The sequence below is a fragment of the Homo sapiens genome, chromosome 9 (genome assembly GCF_000001405.40).
Source record: "Homo sapiens chromosome 9, GRCh38.p14 Primary Assembly".
Lineage (NCBI taxonomy): Eukaryota > Metazoa > Chordata > Mammalia > Primates > Hominidae > Homo > Homo sapiens.
This window is the reverse complement of record NC_000009.12, coordinates 120,099,181-120,123,815: the sequence shown is the minus strand read 5'-3', so window position 1 is coordinate 120,123,815 and position 24,635 is coordinate 120,099,181. Positions and strand designations below refer to the sequence as shown.

Genomic DNA, 24,635 nt, shown 5'->3' with positions numbered 1-24,635 from the left:
AATAAATGTAATCCAGCATATAAACAGAACCAAAGGCAAAAACCACATGATTATCTCAATAGATGCAGAAAAGGTCTTTGACAAAATTCAACAACACTTCATGCTAAAAACTCTCAACAAATTAGGTATTGATGGGATGTATCTCAAAGTAATAATAGCTATCTATGACAAACCCACAGCCAATATCATACTGCATGGGCAAAAACTGGAAGCATTCCCTTTGAAAACTGGCACAAGACAGGGATGCCCTCTCTCACCCCTCCTATTCAGCATAGTGTTGGAAGTTCTGGCCAGGGCAATCAGGCAGGAGAAGGAAATAAAAGGTATTCAATTAGGAAAATAGGAAGTCAAATTGTCCCTGTTTGCAGGTGACATGATTGTATATCTAGAAAACCTCATTGTCTCAGCCCAAAATCTCCTTAAGCTGATAAGCAACTTCAGCAAAGTGTCAGGATACAAAATCAACGTACAAAAATCACAAGCATTCTTATACACCAATAACAGACAAACAGAGAGCCAAATCATGAGTGAATTCCCATTCACAATTGCTTCAAAGAGAATAAAATACCTAGGAATCCAACTTACAAGGGATGTGAAGGACCTCTTCAAGGAGAACTACAAACCACTGCTCAATGAAATAAAAGAGGATACAAACAAATGGAAGAACATTCCATGTTCATGGGTAGGAAGAATCAATATCGTGAAAATGGCTATACTGCCCAAGGTAATTTATAGATTCAATGCCATCCCCATCAAGCTACCAATGACTTTCTTCACAGAATTGGAAAAAACTCCTTTCAAGTTCATATGGAACCAAAAAAGAGCCCGCATCACCAAGTCAATCCTAAGGCAAAAGAACAAAGCTGGAGGCATCACACTACCTGACTTCAAACTATACTACAAGGCTACAGTAACCAAAACAGCATGGTACTGGTACCAAAACAGAGATATAGACCAATGGAACAGAACAGAGCCCACAGAAATAATGCCGCGTATCTACAACTATCTGATCTTTGACAAACCTGACAAAAACAAGAAATGGGGAAAGGATTCCCTATTTAATAAATGGTGCTGGGAAAACTGGCTAACCATATGTAGAAAGCTGAAACTGGATCCCTTCCTTACTCCTTATACAAAAATTAATTCAAGATGGATTAACGACTTACATGTTAGACCTAAAACCATAAAAACCCTAGAAGAAAACCTAGGCAATACCATTCAGGACATAATCTTATATGTAGAACCTAAAGGTTCCACAAAAAAGCCTGTTAGAACAAATAAGCAAATTTACCAAAGCTCCAGGATAGAAAACCAACACACAAAAATCAGCTGTGTTCCTATACACTAACAATGAAAAATCTGAAAAGGAAATTAAGAAAACAATTTTATTTATAATAGCATCAAAAGGAATAAAATATATAGGAATAAATTTAACCAAGATGTAAAAGACTTGTACACTGAAATCTACAAAATGTTGCTGAAAGTAATAAAAGAAGACACCAAAAATGGAAATAAATCCCCTGTTCATTGATTATAAGCCTTAATATTGTTAAGATGTCAATACTGCCCAAAGCGATCTACAGATTCAGTGCAATTTCTATCAAAACCCCAATGATGTGTTTTGCAGATGTGAAAAAATTCATCCTAAAATTCATATGGAATCACTAGGGACCCCAAATAGCCAACCAATCTTGAAAAAACAAAGTCAGAGAACTCACACATCCAGATTTCATAACTTACGACAAAGCTATAATAATAAAAACTGTGTGGTAAAGGTATAAAGAAAGACATATAGACCAATGGAATAAGATAGAGGGCCCAGAAATAAACACTCATACATATGGCCAAATGATTTTGACAACAAGGATGCCAAGACCATTCAGTGGGGAAAGGACAGTCTTTTCAACATATGATACTGGGAAAATTGATAACCACATGCAAAAGAAGGCAGTTGAAACTGTACTTTGCATTATATACAAAAATTAACCCAGAATAGATGAAAGGCCTAAATGTAAGAACTAAAACTACAGAACTCTTGGAAGAAAATATAGAGGAAAATATTCATGACATTGGATTTAACAATGATTTCTTGGATATGACAGTGAATACACATATAACAAAAGAAAAAATAGATAAATTATACTTCATCAAATTAAAAACATGTGGATCAAAAGACACTATCAACAGAGTGAAAAGCAGAATGGAGTAAATATTTACAAATCATATATGTGATGAGCAATTAATACTCAGAATAGGTAAAGAGCTCCTACAGTTCAACAACAATAAAAAAAACCAGTTAAAAAATACACAAAAGACTTGAATAAACATTTCTCCAAAGAAGAATTTCCAAAGTTAGAGGATATATTAGAGCTGCATTTTTCAAATTTCAGATTGGGATTTTTTTAGTGGCCATGAAATCAGTGGAGGGGACCTCTGACTAGAATAGAAGAGGAATTACCAGATGTGGTAGCACAGTGGATGAGGCCGACTAGTTGGTTTTGAATCCTGGCCTCGCCATTTTCTGGCTGTGGGACCATAGGCAAGTTACTCAAGGGAATTTGAGTCTTACTTCCTTTACCTATAAAATGGGCATAATAATAGTAGTTACTTCATAGGGATGAATTAATATTTATTAAGGGTTTAGAATAGAGCCTAGAACATAGGAAATGCTACATGTGTTTGCAATTATTGACACAACTTATTTCATAATACTTAATGTTTTTGTCTATTTATGTATACATGTACATGTACAGGGCTATGATATAAAACACAGTTCTTAGCATGAGTTGTGTATTTCTTATTCTGATCACCCAGTTTATGCCTCTTTGGGGGAATGTATGGAACATCACTTACTGTTTCATCTCACTCTCCTCCGAACTATGTACTGATATTAGCATCATCCCATAATGCAGGTGACAGTACGAAGACTCACAGTAGTGGGGAAGTCCTGTCCTCAAGTCCATGCAGCTCAGGAGTGGGAGAACTTGGATCTGAGTGAGCCCTGATTGTCGCCTTGAGGACCACTGTATTTTCAGAGCCTTGCCTTGCTTCTCAGAGGTGAGAGCCACCTCCATTTCAACACGGCCATTGCTGGAGCTGAGGCAGCCTCCTAGCGCCCCAAGCAGGACAGATGCTCTTTGGCTCCTTTGGGTTGGTGAGTGAGGCTGCAAAATGGCTTTTCATTTCATATTTGTGTGTTGATGTACACATGTCTTTTCTCTCTGAGCCTTTGGTTGTTGTCATCTTTCCTTTTTCCTTCCAGTAATAAAATCTAATCTAATTTCCAGTAGATGTAACTGAAATTTTATTTCCATAGTTGGGTCCCGCACAGCTGTCACTGACTCTGGGGACCTCAGAGAGAGATTCAGGCTAGCATGGGGGAACAAATAGATCCAGGCCAGGGAATTGCCCTAATATCTGTGCTGATTATGGCACACAAATAATAAAGATGCATCTACAGCTGGCTGGGGATCAATATCCCTGAAGAGGGGAGTGGAAAGAGGCTGCAGCCTCGGCAATGGGCAGGATCTACAGGCATGCACCATTATGTCCTAGCTAATTTTTATTTTTGTAGAGATGGGATCTCACTGTGTTGCCCAGGTTGCCCTCGAACTCCTGAGCTCAGGTGATCCTCCCACCTTGGTCTCCGAAAGTGCTGGGATCCAGGTGTGAATCACTATGCTCAGCCAGTTCCAGGGGTCTTACAGGACATCGAGACATTTGGGGACTAGGTGGGCATTTAGTACCAGGTATGTCATCATCTATCCATGCTGCCGGCTGCTGGGACATCCTGATTCTCAGCCCATCTCAAGAGCAGGATGCCTCATAGCTGGTCTGAAATGATGACCACACTCTGATAGTAGAGACAAGATGCTGCCCTTCCATATAGGCAGTGACAGTTTTATTCATTCCAGAGCTATTCGGTCCTCCCAGAATAGCAGAATGTCAGGACAAGAGGGATCCTAAGGCTGTAGTAGAAAGGTGCAACCCCACATTTAGCATAAATGGGGCCACACTATCCTAATAATTTACACTGCTACTTGCAGAATGGCCAAGACATGCAAGGGCTCTGTTGAATTATCTTTAATCTTCACCTATACAAACTTTCCAGTAAGAAGTTATATATAGTCCCACTTAATAAAAGATGACATGAAGGCTCAGAGAGGTTATTTAAGTTGCTTAAAGTCACACAGCTACAGAGTTGGGATTTGAACCTAGTGTGTCTGACTCTAGATCCTCTAGATGTGGTCCATGGGTCAGCAAGATTAGTATCACCTGGGAGTGTATTAGATATGTAGAACTCAGGCCCTTTTTCCATACTTTGGATCAGAATCTCTGTTTTAACAAGATCCACAGATGATGTGTGGGCACATTAATGCTTGAGAAGTGTGAATGTAAAGGATTTTCCTTCTCATTGTTGTTTCATAGAATCTGGCTGTTACTAAATAAACAAACTGATTAACTAATTAACTAATGAACAAGCAGACACATACCAACTTGAATTCCAGGGTTAAAGAGTAATCTTCAGCAAAGCATTTAATTTTCACAGTAGTATCAATAAACATTTGCAGTCAGGAGGAGAGGAAAGTGATTTCTTCACCTGGAGTTAGATAAAAGATCATGGTGGGTGCAAAGAGTAGTGAGCAAATCTACTTCATCTCCCCATTTTGTTTCTCTCCTAGGGAGCACAGATATCAACTGGACATGAAGGGCTGGGACAGGAGAGAGCCTATGTGGAGAGGAGGTTCTTCCAGGAGGTGGTAAGAGAACCAGTTCTCATTCATCAAGTGTCCACTTTGTGCCAGGCACTGGGCTGAGTGCTTCACATATGCAATAGCTGTGGTTTCAGTCTATAAACCCAGATGAACAAGAACTAAAATAAAACTCCCTTTCCTTTTCCTTATCATTTTGAGCCCCCAGTTTGCTAAATAGGAGAAACCTAATCTCAGTTCATTTGGGTCCTACCTTGCCTCAGAATATGTCTAAGTTCCATGGATCTTTTTAAAATGTAAATTTAAATGTTTTAGAGACAGGGTCTCACTCTGTGGTCCAGGCTGGTGCAGTGGCATGATCATAGTTGATTACAGCCTAGAACTCTAGGATTCAAGCGATCCTCTTGTCTCAGCCTCCCGAGTAGCTGGGACTATAAACATGCACCTCCGTGCCCAGCTGTATTAGTCCATTTTTGCACTACTATAAAGAAACACCTGAGACTGAGTAATTTATAAATAAAAGAGGTCTAATTGGCTCATGTTCTGCAGGCTGTACAGGGAAGAATGGCAGCTTCTGCTACTGGGAAGGCCTCAGGAAACTTTCAATCATGGCAGAAGGCAAAGGTGAAGCAAGATCATCTTACGTGACCAGAGCAGGAGAAAGATAGAGAGGGGAAAGATGCCACACACTTTAAAACAATCAGATCTAGTGAGAACTCACTCACTATACAGTACCAAGGGGTATGATACTAAACCATTTGTATAAACTCTTCCCCCATGATCCAATCACTTCCCATCAGGCCCACCTCCAAATTCAACATGAGGTTTGGGTAGGGACACACGTTCAAATCATCTTATTCCACCCCTGATCCCTCCCAAATCTCATGTCCTTCTCACATTTCAAAATACAATCATACCTTCCCAACAGTCCTCCAAAGTCTTAACTCATTCTAGCATTACTCAAAAGTCCAAAGTCCCAAGTCTCTTTGAGACAAGGCTAGTCACTTTCACCTATGAGCCTGTAAAAGTGAAAACAAATTAGTTACTTCCAAGATACAATGGGGTTATAGGCATATTATACTTCCATTCCAAAAGGGAGAAATCAGCCAGAAGAAAGGGCCTAAGGCTCCATGCAAGTCTAAGACCCAGTAGGACATTCATTAAACCTTAAAGTTCCAAAACAATCTCATTTGACTCTATGTCCCACATCCAGGACACACTGGTGTGAGGGGTGGGCTCCCAAGGCCTTGGGCAGCCCTGTCCCTGTGGCTTTTCAGGGTTCAGTCCCTGCTACTGCTTCCAAAGGCTGGCACTGAGTGCCTGTGGCTTTTCCAGGTGCAGGGTGAAAGCTGTTGGTAGATCTACTATTCTGGGGTCTGGAGGATGATGGCTGTCTTCTCACAGCTCCACTAAGCAGTGCCCCAGTGAGAATAACTCTGTATGGAGGCTCTGATTCCACATTTACGACTCACACTGCCCTAGTAGAGGTGCTCCATGAGGGACCCTCCCCTGCAGCAGGCTTCTGCCTGGACATCCAGGCTTTTCCATACTTTCTCTGAAATCTAGGTGGAGGACCCCAAGCCTCAGCTCTTGCATTGTGTGCACTTGCAGGCTTAACACCATGTGGAAGCTGCAGAGGCTTACAGCTTGCTCTCTCTGGAGCAGTTGTCCGAGGTGTACCTTGGCTCATTTGAGCCACAGCTGGAGGTGGAGAGGCCAGGATGCGGAAAAGTGTCCTGAGGCTGTACAGGGCAGTGGAGCTCTGAATCTGGCCCACAAAGCCATTCAGTCCTCCTAGGCCTCTGGGCTTGTGATGGGAGGGGCTGCCATGAAAGTCTCTGGAATGCCACCGAGGACTTTCTCCCATTGTCTTGGCTATCAGCATTTGCTTTCCTTTTAGTTATGCAAATTTCTGCAACCTGCTTGAATTGCTCCCCTGAAAATGGGCTTTTCTTTTCTACCACATGGCTGTGCTGCAAATTTTCCAAACATTTATGCGCTGCTTCCCTTTTAAATATAAATTCCATTTTCAGATCATTTATTTGCTCACACATAAGCATAGGTTGTTAGAGGCAGCCAGCCAAATCTTGAACAATTTGCTGCTTAGAAATTTCTTCCACCAGATACCCTAAATCATCACTCTCAGGTTCAAAGTTCCACAGATTCCTTGGGCAGGGGCACAATGCCTCAAAGTTCTTTGCTAAAGTGTAACAAAAGTGATGTTTGCTCCAGTTCCCAGTAAGTTCCTCATCTCCGTCTGAGATCTCATCAGCCTGGCCTTCACTGTCCCTGTTACTATCAGCATTTTGGCCACAACCATTTAACAAGTCTCTAGGAAGCTCCAAAATTTCCCTCATCTTCCTGTCTTCTTCTGAGCCCTCTACACTCTTCTAATCTGTGCCTGTTACCCAGTTCCAAAGTTGCTTCCACATTTTCAGGTATCTTTATAGCAATGCCCCACTCCTCAGTACCAATTTTCTGTATTAGTTTGTTCTCATACTGCTGTAAAGAAATACCTGAGACTGAGTAATTTATTAAAAAGAGGTTCATGATTCTGAAGGCTGTACAAGCAGCATAGTGGCTTCTGCTTCTGGGGAGGCCTCAGGAGACTTAAAATCATGGTGGAAGGCAAAGGGGAATCAGGCACATCTTACATGGCTGGAGCAGAAGGAAGAGAGAGAGAGGGAAGATGTTATACACTTTCAAACAAGCAGATCTTGCGAGAATTCACTCACTATACAGTACCAAGGGGGATGATACTAAACCATTCATGAGAACTCCACCCCCATGATCTAACCATCTCCCGCCAGGATCTACCTTCAAAACTGGGGATTACAATTCAACATGAGATTTGGGTGGGGACACAGATCCAAACTACATTACTGGCTGATTTTTATTTTTGTAGAGATGGGGTCTTGCTTTGCTGCCCAGGCTGGTCTTGAACTCCTGGGCTCAAGTGATCCTCCCACCTTGGCCTCCCAAAGTTCTGGAATCCCAGGTGTGATCCTGGCCAGTTCCAGGGGTCTTATAGGAAATTGAGGCATTTGGGTACTGGGAGAGAGTATGGCATGTAGTGTCAAGTATGTTATCTATCCATGGTGCCAGCTGCTGGGACATCCTGGTTCTCAGCCCGTGGGTCCTGTGGGTTGCTGCTGGGTTCTCCTTTACCCTGATTGCAAGGCATCCTGTAACACCCTCAGTTGTGTCCCCACTGCTCTGGCCCCCAGGATCTTTCTGTAGTGCCTGAACTGTCCGGGGAGCACGAATGCTGGGAGGTAGTCTCAGGATCTTCTGCCTAGATCTGAGACTCAGCTACTTCTACAGAGAAGATTTCTGAGCTGTGGTTGGGGACAGAAGCCCCCTTTGCTTTCAGATTTCTGAGTCTATCTAGAACATCTGTCACCCTCCCTCCGATCTACCACACACAGAGATGTGTGCTGCTGGGGAGGATGGGACCTCCTTCTCTGAAAGCCTCAACATCTACTTACTCTTTGCTTCTGAGGAATCTTTTCTTCTGCTTGGGGGACAGGAAGCCTTGTTTTGACTCCACATTGTTTTCCTCAAATCAGTGTTAATATCCTAGCTCCCATAAGGTCTAAGCTTTCAAATCTTTTCTCTGAATTCTTAGCTTGTATCCCTTCCCTGCAGCAATGAATGCCTGGGAGAGTAGCCACCTTTCTGCCTGGGTGAGAAGGGCTAAGCACCATGGAGAACAAAGGAATATGGGTAGAAACATCCTTAGATTGTAACTCACCGTGTTATTTCATTTAATCTTGCAAGTCTGCAAGAGTTAATATTAGCTACTAGTATTACTCTGAAAGACAGAGAAACGAAGCCATAAAAGAGCAAAAGATTTGCCCAAGGACACAGAGTTAACAAAATCTGGGGCCAAGACAGAAACTCAAGACTCTTACCCAGGTCTAGAGCCCAGGAATGTAAGACCATGAAGGTTTGACTCTTAGTGTGGCCACTTCCCAGCTGTGTGTCTTTGGCCAGATCCCCTAACCTCCCTTAGCCTTCGTTTCTTTATCTTCAAAATGAAGATGATAGTGGTGGGACCACCTAAGGGAGATGACCTATAGGTAATGATTACAAACATTTCTAGCACATGTAAATTCTCAATAAAGTTCAGCTATTATTAGTATTGTTTTGTCATTATATTGCTTTCCAAGCTGATAGAACACAGCATCATTTAAAGTCCTGGGATCTTAAGGTAAATCTCAAGATGTCATAATTGAAAGAAAGGGGCTTTAGAAATAAATCACTCCCACTTCCTTATTTTACAGATGGGAAAATCTGAAGCCCAGGAAGGGAAAGAAGGATACCCAATGACACAGTTTGATGTTATTAAAAAGAAGAACAGATTTTGGTGAAAGGTAAAGAGTAAATTTTTCAGAGGATGAATCAGAGATGCCTGGGAGATATTCTGGTGGAGATGCCCAGCAGCAGTTAGACATACAGGTTTTCGTTCAGCAGAGTCATCTGGGCTAGAGCCTGAGATTTAAGAGTTGCTAGCATTTGGGTGGCTAAAACCCCATGGGGTGGCTGAGATTACCCATGGGAAGTGTGAGGATTGGTAAGAAAGGAAGGTAGAGGTGGAGTTTTAGGATTTACCAACATGTAAGAAGATAACAGAGATAGTGGCCATTGAAGAACTCCAAGAAGGGAAAGAAGGAGACACAGCAGAGAACCAGGAGAGAAAGGGGCTGCCAGAAAAAAATAAACGCAGCTTTCAGTTGCAAGAAGAATGAGTTTTGGAGAAGCCAAGTGGAGCAGGGAAGGAAAGGAAAGAAGGTTAAGTCAGGAAGTAGAGTTTGGTTAAGGCTAAGTAGGGGCTTGAGAAGTGTCTCTGAACATGATCAACCTAAGCGAGGGTTAATGATGGCCATGCTGTCTGTTGAGGACCATAATGATGAGCAACTTTATTGAGCACCTTCAATCATTGGAATTATAATTAATTATTCACTCATTTCTTTGTTGTTTGGAAAAATAGAGCTTTGTTGTAGATTTTCTTTGTTTCCTGCCATGGCATCAGAAATGAACCAGGTGACAGTTTCCCAATCAGCAAGGTTTTGGCTGTGCATCCATCTATGCAATTGTTTTCTTGGAAGCTCAGACTATGAGCCGGAAGAGGTCTTGCAAGGTAAATCATTTGCCTGCTAGTAGAACGCAGAAATGTCTACAACATCCTTGGCACGTGGTCCTCCAGAATCTGCTGGAGCACTTCTAGGGAAGCTCATTGCCCACCCCAGGCATTCTATTTATGATTTAGTACCTGGAACTCCTACCTAGTTCTTCCTTACATTGACCTGTCTCTGAACTTCCACCTAAATGACCTGTATCTGTCCCCTGGAGTCACATTGAAACATCAATTTCCCTTTCCAGTGGCTTTTCTTATTTGAAAACATCTCTCATGTTACCCCTTCATACTTCTCTTTTCTTGTTAAACATCTCTGTTCTGTCATCCTTGGGTCATTCTTTTAGCCCCCATGAGGCATATAAGGACACAAACTAAAGGACTGTCCTGGCACCAGCCCAGCTGTTACAGACTTAGTTCTGAATCAACCCAGTCACTTGCTTGTACCTCTCATTACTCTTTCAACCTTTTTATTGCTGACTCTGTTCTCTTATCTTTCTGATCTTGGTCTTTACTTAACTGATTACTAATTTGAACCTTGGCTTCCCCATATACTAGCTGTGTGATTTGTGCAAATTTTTCAAACTTTCAAAGCCCCATTTTATTTTATTTTACTTTTCTAATTTCACCTTATATCTTAGATTCAGGATGTACATGTGCAAGTTTGTTACATGATATTAATATATTGCATAGATGCTGAGGTTTTGGATACAAATGATCCTGCCCCTCAGTAAGTGAGCATAGTGCCACTCAGTTAGCTTTTTAATACTTGTCCCCGTCTAATAGTCCCCAGTGTCTATTGTTGCCATCTTTCTGTCCATGAGTACCCAATGTTTAGCTCTCACTTCTAAATGAGGACATGTGATATTTGATTTTCTGCTCTTGCATTAACTTGCTTAGGATAATGACCTCCAGCTGCATCCATATTGCCGCAAAGAACATGATTTTGTTCTTTTTTATGGTGCATAGTATTCCATGGCTTATAGGTACCACATTTTCTTTATCCAGTCCACTGTTGATGGGCACCTGGGTTGATTCCATGTTTTTGCTATTGTGAATAGTACAACGATGAACATGTGAGTGCATGTGTCTTTTTGGTAGAAAGATTTGGGATTTTTTGGGATATATATCCAGTAATGGGATTGCGGGGTCTAATGGTAGTTCTGTTTTAAGTTCTTTTAGGAATCTCCAAACCACTGTCTACAGTGGCTGAACTAATTAATTTTCCCACCAGCAGTGTATAAGCATTCCCTTTTCTCTGCAGCCACTCCAACATCTGTTGTTTTTTGACTTTTTAATAATTATCATTATGACTGGTGTGAGATGAGATGGTATCTCATTGTGGCTTTAATTCACATTTCTCTGATGATTAGTGATGATGAGCATTTTTTTTTCATATTTTTTTGTTGGCTGCTTGTGTGTTTTCTTTTGGGAAGTGTCTGTTCATGTCTTGCCATTTTTAATGGGGTCTAATCCCCATTTAAAAAATGAAGGTAATAATTGTACCAACCTCATACGATTATTGTGAAGAGTAAATGAGAGAATGTATGCAAAGTTTTTAACATGTGGTAAGCGCTCAAAAACAGGTGAGGTGTTATTGATGGATTTATTTTAATTTAACAAACACTTTTGCCTAATTACTATGCATCAGACACTGTTCTAAATATTTTGTAAAAACTAACTCATTTAGGTTTCATAATGACTCTGTGAGGGATAAATATTATTATGCCCTTTCTATAGATTAGAAAACTGAGAAGTGAAATAAATAATTATGAGTTGTGTTAATACTTATTGCTCATGGTATCAATTAGCTTTTGCTCACAAACAACTTCAAAACTTCAGTGACTTCTGCCAGAGCCAACTGATGTGCATTGGATTCTACTGGGCAGTTGTGCTGATCTCATTTGGGCTCACCCATGTGCCCACACTTTTACTGGGGACTCTGCTCTAGGTTGGGTTTTCCTGGGGGTTTAATTCTTGCCATGCATCCCTTATGCTCCTTCTTGAACTAGTGGGTTACTCAAGGCAAGAAAGCCCAATTGTACACGTGCTTCTCAAGACACTGCTTGCTACATTTGCAAACATCCTATGGTAGGCAGTCTTCTAAGATGGTCCTCAATAATCCCGGCCTCCTGAATTCATACCCTTGGGTAATCCCCTCCCTTTGAGTGGGGCAGAGCCTGTGACTTGCTTTGAACTGATAGAATACAGCAAAAGTGATGGGCTGTCAGTTTTGTGATTAGGTCACAAGAGATTATGACTTCTGTCTTGCTAGCAGATTTTCTTTAGTGTCTCCTTGGCTTATGTGCTTTGATGAAGTGGCCCGCACAGCAAGAATGGAGGGCAGCCTCTGGCCAACAGCATGGATGGAACTGAGTCCTGTCCATAAAGCACATAAGCTTGGATGTGGAACCTTTCTCGGTGGAGCCTTGACATGACACAGGTCAGCTGACTCCTTTATTGCAGTCCTGTGCAATGTGAGACCCTGAAGCAGAGGACCCAGGTGAACCATACTGAGATCCTTGTCCCCAGGAACTATGATATAATAAATGTGTGTAGTGTTAGGCTTTTAAATTTGGGGGTAATTTGTTACATAGCAATAGATAACTAATGCACATTCCTTTGGCCAAAGAAAGTTGCATGGCTAGGTCGGGGGTAGGGGATTATGATTTGTGTATAGAAAGAGAGCATTGTGAAGCTACAAGATAAAGTGGATGGAAGAAGGGTAGGGTGGAGAATTGTAGTCAAGAATGCAATTCACCATGTGCACTAACTGCATGCCAGGAGACATGGACATGGGAGATGCAGAGCTGAGTATGACCTTGGCCTTGCCTCAGGAAGCTGATGATCTTGTGGGAGAACCAGAACAGCCTTTTGGAGTCCAAGTAATAATGTGCTCAATTGGCACTTGACACTGATTCCATGTGGAGCTTCCTGAAAATGTCACTACCTTTACCAAGAGTCCATAGAGGGAGTCTTACAATTCTGGGAGCATCCCCAGGCACTCTCAGGAGTGGAGAGAGCTCAGGTGCTTTGGAAATGCAGCTTCAGTGGCCCAGCTTTTGCCAACTCCAAGCAGAGACCTGCAGGCTATGAAAGTCATCTGTCCAATAAATAGGTCCGGGCAACCATGGAAACTGAAGCCTCATTCATCACTGATGGCAATCAAGCCAATAGGAGGTGGTTTGGCTGGGAATGAGGCAGGGAGGGAAGTGGCCACCATGAGGAGCCTGGTGTTGGCATGGGTAAATCTCTGCATACACTGTTACTTGGTCTGTGTTGGGCACTGTGCCAGGCATCATCTCATTTGAGCATTACAATGGCTCTATAAAGGAGGCATTATTATCTCCATTTTGTAAGTGGGAAAGCTGAGGACCAGTGAGTGAAGTCACCTGCCAAAGGACACACAGCTTTTAAGTGTTGGAGCTAGGATTTGAACCTAGGGTCACCTCATGCTAAGCTGCTGTTCTTTCCATAGGATGAGCTTTTTATGTCATCTTCCTCTTATTTCCTGTTCACCTTGATTCTAAGATTTTAGAACACTGATTCTGGTGCAGTAGAAAGAACACTGGAATAGGAGTTAGATTTTAACTCCCAAGGTTGGGACTTCTTGTATGATTCTGGCTAAGTCACTCTCCTTCTCTAAACCTGTTTTTCTCCTCTGTAAAAAGATAGGTTTGGATTTTATCAGCGATGTCAAATAAGTTTTATTTTGCATGCCAACTCCAATGGATAGTGGTTGCAGCCTGACTTGGGATATTGATGAGGACTATGAAGCTGTATTGGGGCTCAGTGGGAAGGAGTTTGATGCTAGGTCAGTGAAGTCTGCAACGGTTGTAGAATAGGAGATGATCTCCAAGTTTCTTTGAATTCTTTGAGTGTGTTTCCATTTTTCTATGTTCCTTTTATTCTTAATGGGATTTCAATCAGGCTAAGCCAATCAAGAGAGGTCCCATTTGCCTCTACTGAATATTAAATTGATTTATGCAAATAGCAAGCTGGCTGGACAGCCCAAGATCTGCAGGGGGATGAGACCACACAAAGACACATATGTTGCTGCTCTGATGGTGCCATTCTACTGCCCAGCATAAAACCCCATCTGTAGTGGGTGACCTGTGAGAGCACTGAGGGCAATGCTTAACCCTGAAAATCATTGGCTAAAGGGCCATAACCTCTGTTAGGGCCATCAGTTCTTGAATGCTGCCCAGAATGCACCTTTCACCTGGTATTCAACCAGAGGCAAATGTGAATGCTAAGTTTCCCTAGTTCAGTTTCAAGTCTCCTGCCTAGAACATAGGCAGGGGAGGAACCTACTCTGATGCCAGCCAAGGGCAGCTTTCCCACTGGTCACTGTATGCTGTCTTTCTGGATCTTTGATGCTTTGGCCAGAGTTGGAGACTTGTAGTCATTCCGTAGACAGCAAGGTTGAAGGCCTGAAGGCAGTCCTTTGCCCAACCTGGTGACATGATGAAACATCCAAGGATGCTGTGAAACAGTCATGGAGTGCTTACTCTAACCTGCTCCGCCCCTGTCTACTGCAGTGTCAGCCACACAGCACCAGGGGGACCTCCCATCCCTCCCTGCCTCCCCTGTGCTGATCCTTCAAGCTAGGGAGAGACCGCAGCTGGAGAGTGGTGTGAGCCTGCAGCAAAGTCACCTGCCAGGCTTCCCCCAGGAGAGAAAAGGCCCCCTCAGGGCCCACCAGAGATGCAGTTCCCTTGAAAACATACTTTGATGGCTTAACGGAAGTGATTGTATCAAGAAACACTTTCAGTCAATCAAAAATAACTTGCTGACTCTTGCTTCATGAAGTGGTTATGAGTCTGAAAACACAAATTGGATGCTTCGGGTAGAAAAGTATTTTGAGTCACCTTCATTAATAGGCATAGAGGGCTGAGGGGCATGGAATCAGTGTAATGGGGGATATTCATCACCTTAAATATTTGTCTTTTCTTTATTCTAGGAACATTTGAATTATTTTCTTCTAGCTATTTTGAAATGTACACAGATTATTGTAAACTATACTCATCCTACTGATCCCTTGAACACTAGGTCTCATTTCTCTGATCAAACTGTATATTTGTATTCATTAGTCAACCTGTAATAATCCCCCTGCCTGCTATTATGTTTGTTTTATATAAATTATAATATTCCTTCTCCAAAAATTTATAGCAGAATGGGAAGCTTTGCAGGTTCATGCCTCCAGGGTCTTATTTTCTTTGGGTTGGTCAAAACAGTGCAGCAAAGCTCTTTTCTGATGTTTCAGACCACCTCCACCTTCCAGATCCAAGAGAGTCCTGTTTTAGTAGCTACAAATGGTCTAACTGTTAAGTTAGAAGCTTGAGTTGCATGGGGATGAAGTTTACGATCTTGTTAGAAGTCATAAGAAGCACAGGGAAGAGAGTTATAGAAAAAAATGGGAATTTCTTAAGCAACAGGCTGAAAGTAGAGAGAAAGTGCATGGGCAGATGTCTGCCTAGTCAAGTTCACCGCTAATGTTGTGTCACTGGTGGTGAATGGGAAGAGCTATCCTTTTCCCTGCCTGCCTGGAGCCACATCCTGTTCTAAATTAGTACTAAGGCACTCTATCCTCAACACAGACGAGCACTTGTTTTCTTGCAGACGTTTCCATGTTTTATATACACGTATGTACACAGATTCTCACTGTATCTTTATGTGGGCTCATTCTGCCTTGTAAACTGCATTTTTCACTTAACTCTATGGTTGAACATGGCCTTGCTCTCTTTGGATTCATTTTGCTTGCTGTCTCTGGAGGCTATGCTGCAAAAATAATACTTTCAGTGCTGTCATAAATTTGACCTCTTTTATTCCAACCCCTAAATCCTTCCACCCTGTGTCCCTCCAACTGATATTGTCATTGTTTTTAGAACTCAGAATCCAGCCTTACTCTGTGTTGGCTGGTCTGAATCAGTCCAATGATCTCATTTGCATCTGAGCTTCTGTAGGGGGCTCTACATTGGGAACAGGTCTCCACTTGCTTCCTGGTAACAGGGAAGTCTCAGCCAAAGAAAGGACATTGAAACCAGCTGGAAGAGACTCATCTGGTAATGACCCTTCTGGTGCCAAGAGTTAGAGGCTCAGCTCTCTGAAACCAAGAGGAATGCCAGATGCCTAGCCTTCAGAGAGGACTTAGAAACACCATTTCTGACCAGGCTTTGTTCCCGCATCTTAGCCATCATAGGGGTGACAATTGCTGCTGCTTCTCTTTTGGAGGTGTCCAGTGGGGTCCTCATAAAAGAGAAAGAACAGGACAGGAGGAGAGGACAAGAAGGAAAGGGGAAAAGGAAAAGAAGTGAACAACTGCTGAGATATCAAAGAGGGAGTCTGTGTGGGACACAGGAATGGTTGGTTTACTCCTCTGTCTTCCCAATCGGATCTAAGTTTCTTCAGCACAAGCATAGGGACATTCTTTTCTGTGCCCCACTTCCTAGCACATGCTCTTGGGAAAATGTTTGCTGAATGAACAAGTGAATGAATTAGGTAGTGCTGCTGGGTTCCAGTACTGTGTTATGAGAAGTTTCCACAGGATTCCTGTCCAGTGTTTCCCCTTTCTCCCTGCATTCCCAAACTGAGCTCATGCAATGTCTGGTCCTGTCAAGAAGGTGGCAGCTCAAGGTCATAGAAACAACATAGGCTTTGGAGTTGGACAGTCTGGGTTCAGACACACCCTGTGCTGTGAACTGTCCTTGTGTCACTGAGCAGGAGGTTAGCCTTTCTAAGCCCCTGAGTTTCCTTTTCTGTAAAACGGGGATAATAACAGGGTCAGGCCTGAGGCAGTCATTGTGAAGAAGAAAAGGGATAATGATGTGATGCACCGGCTACTTCTCAAATTTTAAGGTACATAGGAATTGCCTGGAGATTTGGTCAAAAAGCAGATTCTGGTTCAGCAAGTCTGGGGTGAGGCCTGGGAGCCTGCAGTCTGAACAGTCCCCCATGTGATACTGATGCTGCTGGTTCATTAACTACTTCTTGAATACATTCCACCAAATATGTTTACCCTCCCTTTCCCCTTTGCTGGTCCATTGGAACCTTCCTGAATATTTTGTTTCTGAATGAGTCTCCAGGGAAGACCCATCCCCTAGTCTCCCCCTCCCAACCTTCCCACCCAGGGCTTATTTCTTTTTCCCTGGAGCCCGACTAGCAAACTCTCCCATAGCTCAATTTGTCTGATCATGGGAGTGAGGGTTGAGGGAGGTCAAAGCCTTAGAACCCAGCTTCCCAGAAGTTTCTCCAAGGTATTACTGCCTCTTCTTTCTGATGTGTCAGTTAAAAGATTCTCTGGCTACTCTTCCTGGGGCAGGCACAGGGATGCCAGAGCTAGGGATGGCTCAAAAAACCTGCCCCAGGGCAGAATAACAGCCCTGAGGTCAAGCCTCATAAGATCTGTGTTCCTTGCTCTGTGGGGGATAGGTGTGCTTATCTGATTGGGTCCCGGTGTTCTCATTTACAACAAGAGAGGGTTAGATTTGATCACTGGCTGTCAAACTATTTTCGGAGGAATCCTAAGAGCTCAAGGATGTGTTTCGGGAGCTCCAGAAATCCAACTCAGAGTAAAAATATAATTTAAGTCCTTAAAAAACACTGTAAGAATCACAGCTAACACTTTGATCATATTCTGTTTCCAGGGCACATTCTACAGGCTGCCCATGGATTTACATATTTAATTCTCATGCCCATCCTATGAAATAGGGACTCTAATAATTCCCCATTTTTCAGATGAAGAAATTGAGGCTAAGAAGAGTTAGATGACAGGCCCAATGTCCCACAGCTGGTTCAGGGATGGTACTCTTAATCTCTGTACAAAATAACATATGCATTTCATTGTATTGTTTTCTGAACTTTAAAACATTTGTAGGTCCCTAGAGTGTTATCTCAGCTTCCATTAGGGCTTCTGTCTTATGCTCCTTTTCCTCACCCACGCTCTCAGCTGATGCTGCTGATGATTGCCTGCCTATTCTATGGAGAAAATGGAAGCACTCACAAAAGAACATTCACATCTTCCCCACTTACCTCCGACCTGCACTGGGGGTCATTTACTTTGTCAACATACTCGAACCTTTGTAAATGAATATTTAGTTAGTGAAATTGCAGCTGCCAATGTCTCTTTTAAAATTGCTTCTGTGTATGTCTGCTCCTGTGAAAGTTTTTCAGTATATACACTAGTGCAGCACTCACGGGCTGAGAAAGAATGTTTTTCTAAGGTCAACTGAAATTCCAGGCAAGGCTTGGGTGCGTCTCAGGCACCTGCTCATCTCACAGTGTAATAGTTGTGCAGTGAACATCACATCATGTTGTGATAATATCATGTTATTGTATGTTTCTGGTGCTACTTGACTGACTTTTAGTTGTCATAGTACTGACAGCTGCTAAAGTGTCAGCAGGAAAATTGAAACTTAATGTTCAGCCTTAACATTACAAAAAAAAAGATAAATTAGACTGGAAATTTTGAAGGTGTATCCAGTGGAAATGGACAAGATGAGATTTAAAACATGATTTTGCTTAATAGCTCCTAATGTTACAAGATACATTTCACAAGGGTTTTCTGCCAAACAGTGAGGATTTTGACTGGTGGAGAAACCCATTTGCTGACTCTTTCAAACAGTACTGGTAATGATAAAAGTTAACATTTACTGAGAGCTTTTAATATGTGAGGTACTGTTCTAAATACGGTATGTACACAAGCTCATTTTATCTTGACTTAAGGACGTGGTGAACTGAAGCACAGAGAGGGTAGCTAACTTGCTCAAGGTCACACAGCTAGTGAGTTGTGGATCAAGGATTTGTAACCAGGTATCTTGCCTCCGGAGTCCACACTCTTGCCTCCTGTCCTTCTCATAGTTATATGGCAGAACCACAGCGCAAGTCATAACCAATACTCTGCCTATTGGGTACCTGCCCCAGAGCAGTCGAACAGGCTAGAGAAGAGTGCATAGCAGGCTGGCTGCCTCCCTTGTGATTCATGAGTCCTTGTCTTCTGTGGGCTGTTACGCTGCCTGGCAACCATGATTCGTTTCCCTGGTCCATTCACCCTCCCTCTCGTCTAGATGATTTTTTTTCATGACTTCTCCTTCCTCCTTGAACCTTCAGCACATCCTCCCCCTCCCTCACTTCTATCTCATGACCAGTTTGTCATTTCACAGAGATAATAAAAGCAACCAGGAGAGCCTCTGTGGGTCCCCACTAACTGCAGTCGCTTTGCCTCAGTGTGTCGTGCCTTGCCTTCCTTCCTGTTACTGCAGATGCACTGTCCCACCCTAGAGGCCAACCTCCCTCTCCACACGCATCCAAGGGCACTGCTTCAGCAATTCTCCCCCTCCCGCCTACATTGTAACATGTTCTCTCTCTCCTGGATCCCCGACATCACTGTACAAACATGCTAAGATTTCCCCTGTGTGAAAACAGACAACAAACAAACATCCCCACCTCACCTCCCCCTTCAGCTGCCATTTCATTTCTCTGTTCCCCTTTATAACAAAAATCCTGGAAAGACCCATCCTTACCACCATCCCAATCCTTCTCCTCCATTTCCCTCTTGCAATTGCCTGGTTAGGCTTCTGCTCTTACTACTCCATCAAAACTGGACTTACCAAGGTCACCCATGACCCATAACCTCTGTATGGCTAAAGCCTGGAGTCTGGTCTTAGGCCACCCCTTATTTGTCCTGTTAGCATTGACCGTCCTCCTTTCTGATCTCATTTTCTACAGCTCTCCCTCTTGCTCAGCCTCCCCCATCTGCTCAGTTTTCTTTCTCTTCCTTGGGCCGGTCCAGCAGGTGTCTCTCCGTCTCTCTGGGGCCTTGGCACTGGCTGGATTGCTCTTGCCCCAGCCTCAGGGCTGGCTCCCTCACTCCTTCAGACTTTTGCATAAACCTTCTAAGTGAAGGCTCCTTGACCTATTTCAAATTGACCCACTCTTGACCCTGGAGTCCCTAAGCCCCCATTTCTGCTTTATTTGTTCCCATAACACTCATCACCATCATCCTATAGATTTTACTTAGTGTATTTATTTTACTGATTTTCCATCTCTCACATGCCAAAGCTTTAAGCTTCAAAGGACAGGAGTGCTTTTGTTTTCCTCCCTGCCATATCCCCGGCGCTTAGAGCAGTACATAACCCATCGTAGGCACTCAGGAGGTATTTGCTGAATAAATGGGTGAATGAATGCACCTCTGCATCGTGGATATGATCTGGAATAGGATAGTTTTTATAATTCAAGTAGGTCTCTTTGGCTTCCTTTTAAAACCTGTGAGTCACTTTGAAAAATATTAGAAGATTGTATAACCACCTTTACTCTTTCTTCTTCTTCTCCTTTTTTTTTTTTTTTTTTAACCTGTCAGCATTTGCAGCCACTCATCTGTGTAAATAGTGTTTTCAGGATACTGTACAACCAAAACTAATGAAAATTATCAGGCTGTTTTGATAAACACAAAAAATGTGAAGTCAGGGGTTATGAGTGACAATTGCAGTTTTGTATCAACCTGAGCATCCAATTTATTTAATCAAAAGAGACTTGTTCTTATTGACTGACTTTATAATAAGTAAAGATTATAATTTGTATGTATAAAATACATTCACACAAATAAAATATTGCTTTAAAAACTCAGCTTTATTTGCACCCTATGAAAGATTTTAAAAACAGCTTAAGCTAAGTGCAAAAACCATTGACTTACACCACAACCTCTGAGAGATCTTTCTGCTTCAGTATTGTCCTGAAGCTATGCTGGTTGTTACATAATTAGGATTGGGTCCCAGTGAAGACATTTGCATTTCCCCTGGCCTGTGACTTACTCATTTCTTGTGACATTGGCCTCAGATTCGGTCTCTAGAGGATCCTGACTCCTCCCTTTTCTCTCTATCCCAGACCTTCCTGCCTAAACTTTGAGAATTGGTTCTCATTTGCATAATTTAACATCGTGAACATTTACTCCCTACACTCCTAGAAAGCCCCAGAACCAGAGCATATCAAAGCTGGAAGGACTTTGTGGTTCAGATGGGGAGTGCAGGTCCAGGGATGGAAAGCAACTTGCTCCAAGCTGCACAGAGTTTCAGAGGTCAAGATGAATCTAGAATTCAGGCCTCATTTACTTCAGCCCAGAGTTCTTTCTGCCGTATCATCAAGCATCCTTTATTGCCAGTTAGGAGTCTAACTCATGCCTGAGGCTCATAATTAAAGACTGACTTTTTTTTTTTTTCTATACTTTAAGTTTTAGGGTACATGTGCACAATGTGCAGGTTTGTTACATATGTATACATGTGCCATGTTGGTGTGCTGCACCCATTAACTCATCATTTACATTAGGTATATCTCCTAATGCTATCCCTCCCACCTCCCCCACCCCACAACAGGCCCCGGTGTGTGATGTTCCCCTTCCTGTGTCCATGTGTTCTCATTGTTCAATTCCCCACCTATGAGTGAGAACATGCAGTGTTTGGTTTTTTGTCCTTGCGATAGTTTGCTGAGAATGATGGTTTCCAGCTTCATCCATGTCCCTACAAAGGACATGAACTCATCATTTTTTATGGCTGCGTAGTATTCCATGGTGTATATGTGCCACATTTTCTTAATCCAGTTTATCATTGTTGGACATTTGGCTTGGTTCCAAGTCTTTGTTATTGTGAATAGTGCCACAATAAACATATGTGTGCATGTGTCTTTATAGCAGTATGATTTATAATCCTTTGGGTATATACCCAGTAATGGGATGGCTGGGTCAAATGGAATTTCTAGTTCAAAGGGCTAATATCCAGAATCTACAATGAACTCAAACACATTTACAAGAAAAAACAAACAACCCCATTAACAAGTGGGTGAAGGATATGAACAGACACTTCTCAAAAGAAGACATTTACGCAGCCAAAAGACACATGAAAAAATGCTCATCATCACTGGCCATCAGAGAAATGCAAATCAAAACCACAATGAGATACCATCTCACACCAGTTAGAACAGTGATCATTAAAAAGTCAGGAAACAACAGGTGCTGGAGAGGATGTGGAGAAATAGGAACACTTTTACATTGTTGGTGGGACTGTAAACTAGTTCAACCATTGTGGAAGTCAGTGTGGCGATTCCTTAGGGATCTAGACTGACTTCTTTTATCAAGGGCACTGTGGTGCAATGCTGAGGTGCATGGGCTTGGGAGCCAGATTTTCTGGGCTTAAAAATCCAGATCCACTGCTTAGTTAATCTTTGCAGTACCACAGTTTTCCTATCTGTAAATTGGGAAAAAAGAGTAGGATGGTGGTAAGATATCAATCTACCACAGAGGGTTGTTGTGAGTCTAAAGGAGTTAATAAAAACAAAGTGTCCTTTTCACATGGTAAGTATTTTCTAAATGTCACTTATTGTTGTTATCATCAAAGGAATTAGCCTTCATAAAGTAGCAAATATTCCTAAGAAAGTGGCAGGTCATATTTGAAGACATATGAGTCACTCTCATGTTAGTATGAATGTCTATCTATGATGCTATCTCTCAGCTCAAAATCCTTCTATGGCTCCCATGTACCTAAAGGAACAATCCCAAGCTCCTTAATGTGAAATGCAAGATTTTTCACATTCTGGACTCTGTTTGCCTTTTTTGCATTACTTCTTGCCACTTTGCCCCTACTTTGAACTTTATCATTCAAATACATATACCAGTTTTTCCTTCTTTACACGTGAAAATCTTTCATGCCTCCTTGACTTTGCTTACACCATCTACCTGTAATACCCTTCCTCCATATCTACCAGGTTGCCTTTTTCTCTTTTCCCCGAATTTAGCTCAGGTGTATGTCCTCTTTCAGAAAAGCTTCCCTGTCTCCCTGCCCTTCTCATACCACCCTCCTCCATGTTCTAAATGTTTTTCTACAAAATAATCTTAATGGTAGTTGGCTTTTATTGAGCATCAACCATATGTGCCAGGCCCTGGGCTAGCACTTAACATGAATTTTCGTATTTGCGCTCCACAAGAATCCCTAGAGACAAATACAATTCTTATTCCCATTTTACAGCTCAGGAACTTGTAGGCAGAGACAGAAGTAAAGTACCTTTCCCAAGGTCACATGGTTAGCAAATGTGAGAGTCTTCTTCAGAGACTGTCTGAGTCATTTTTGCAACCTCAGTGGCCAGCAAGGGTTGGCTACTGAGTAGGGACCGAGTGAAAATTTGTCTCTCGGATTCAGATTCCATCTGGTCTCTCTGATTACTGAGCCCATTGAGTGTGTATTGGCCTGGTTGGTCCTCTGCAGGGTGTAAAAATTCCCCTGTTCCCTTTGCATCTTTCCTCTGCTATTGATAAACTCCTTGAAATAGGCCTCTCTGAACAGTCTCAGAGTTCCCACGCATGTAGGAGCTCTCATTTTGTCCTGAAAATTGTGACAAGAAATTTCTGAGCTGTTGCTGTGTCGGAATGGAGTTTATTATCACTAGCAGACCTGAGGTTGAGAGCTGCGCGAAAGATCTAGTAAATAATATGACACCAACTGGAACTCATTCCAGCCTGTGAGCCCCAGGCGTGCCCACCAGGGAATATGGGAAGGGCTATGGGTGGTTCTCTTGCGTAAATGCTGTGGCTTTATTTGAAGCTGCTCCTGCATTTCACTGGGAATGGGATCATGAGGAAATGTAATACAGTGTATTGGAAAAGACTTTGGGGGAAGATGCAGAACAACTGAATTCAAGTCTTGCAGGGTGAACTTGGCAAAGCCACTATTCCCCTCTGTGCTTCCCTCGGAGGAGAGCATTTAAGAATCTTGGGCTCCTACAGGCTATCTAGTTTAATACTTGTCCTGAGGCTTCAGTATCTTTTCCTTGTCTGTCTCCTCTCTTTCTGTGTATATATGTGTGTGTGTGTGTATGTGTATGCATATGTAGATATGTATTCATATACACACATACATATCCATATACATATGTGTATCTACATATACACATATCTACAAATGCATATACACAGATAGTATCCCTGTGGTATCCCATTTGTAAATTTAGTTGAGCGGTGAGTACAGGAGTGTAATGATGCTGTGGCACTGACTCTGTCTCAGGCAGTTAGTGGCAGGGCAGAGATAGAAAGGCGCTTATGTAGACAGAAAGGCCAGGATGACGATGATGGGTCCTTTTCCCATGGTGTAAGCTGATGGAATGAGAGAGGAAGAAACCTATATCTGGGTAGGGGATGTGGAAGTTGGCAGGAGGCATGAGAGGTGAGGAGTAAGCAGATGCAAGGGAACAGCCAAAAACCCCTACAAAGTGAGAGCTTCAGAGCGAAGATCCAGACTTCATAGTTGACAGTCAAAGCCCACCTTGGTCCCAGTGGTGTCTCTGCTTGTTCGCTGCTCCTTCTGAGGCCTGGCTGTTGCATTCTTTTCCAGGTATCTAACTTTTAGTTGAAATTGCCCAATACCTAGTGTTTCAGTTAGCTGCTGCAGTATAACAAACAGCACATTACTTCTCCCGTGTTTCCAGGGTTGACTGGGTGGTGCTGGGCTTGCTTGCATGTCTGTGGGCAGCTGGTGTGTCAGCTTGCCGTCTGGTCTGGCATGGCTGTGGCTGTGATGCCTCATCTTTCCTCTACATCCCTCTCACATCCTCCAGCAGCCAGGCCATGGCAGTGGCTGCATCCAAGCGAGAGAGGTGGAAAAATACAAGTGCTTTTTCCAGCCTCTGCTTGCATCAGGTCACTACTCTCCCATTGGTGGAAACAAGTCACATGGCCAAGTCCAGCCTGCAAGTGGGAGCAAACTGCAAAGGCTGAGGACACAGGAAGGCCATTATCTGGGGCCATTAAT

The 24,635-nt window shown here is 42.7% G+C and overlaps 1 annotated feature.

Moving 5' to 3' along the window:
• Nucleotides 6,334-6,963: an enhancer, noted in NCBI's record as "OCT4-NANOG hESC enhancer chr9:122879131-122879760 (GRCh37/hg19 assembly coordinates)". NCBI's record gives its function as "activates a minimal SCP1, AML or CMV promoter by ChIP-STARR-seq in primed H9 embryonic stem cells {active_cell/tissue: H9 hESC(primed)}" and the evidence as "EXISTENCE:reporter gene assay evidence [ECO:0000049][PMID:30033119]".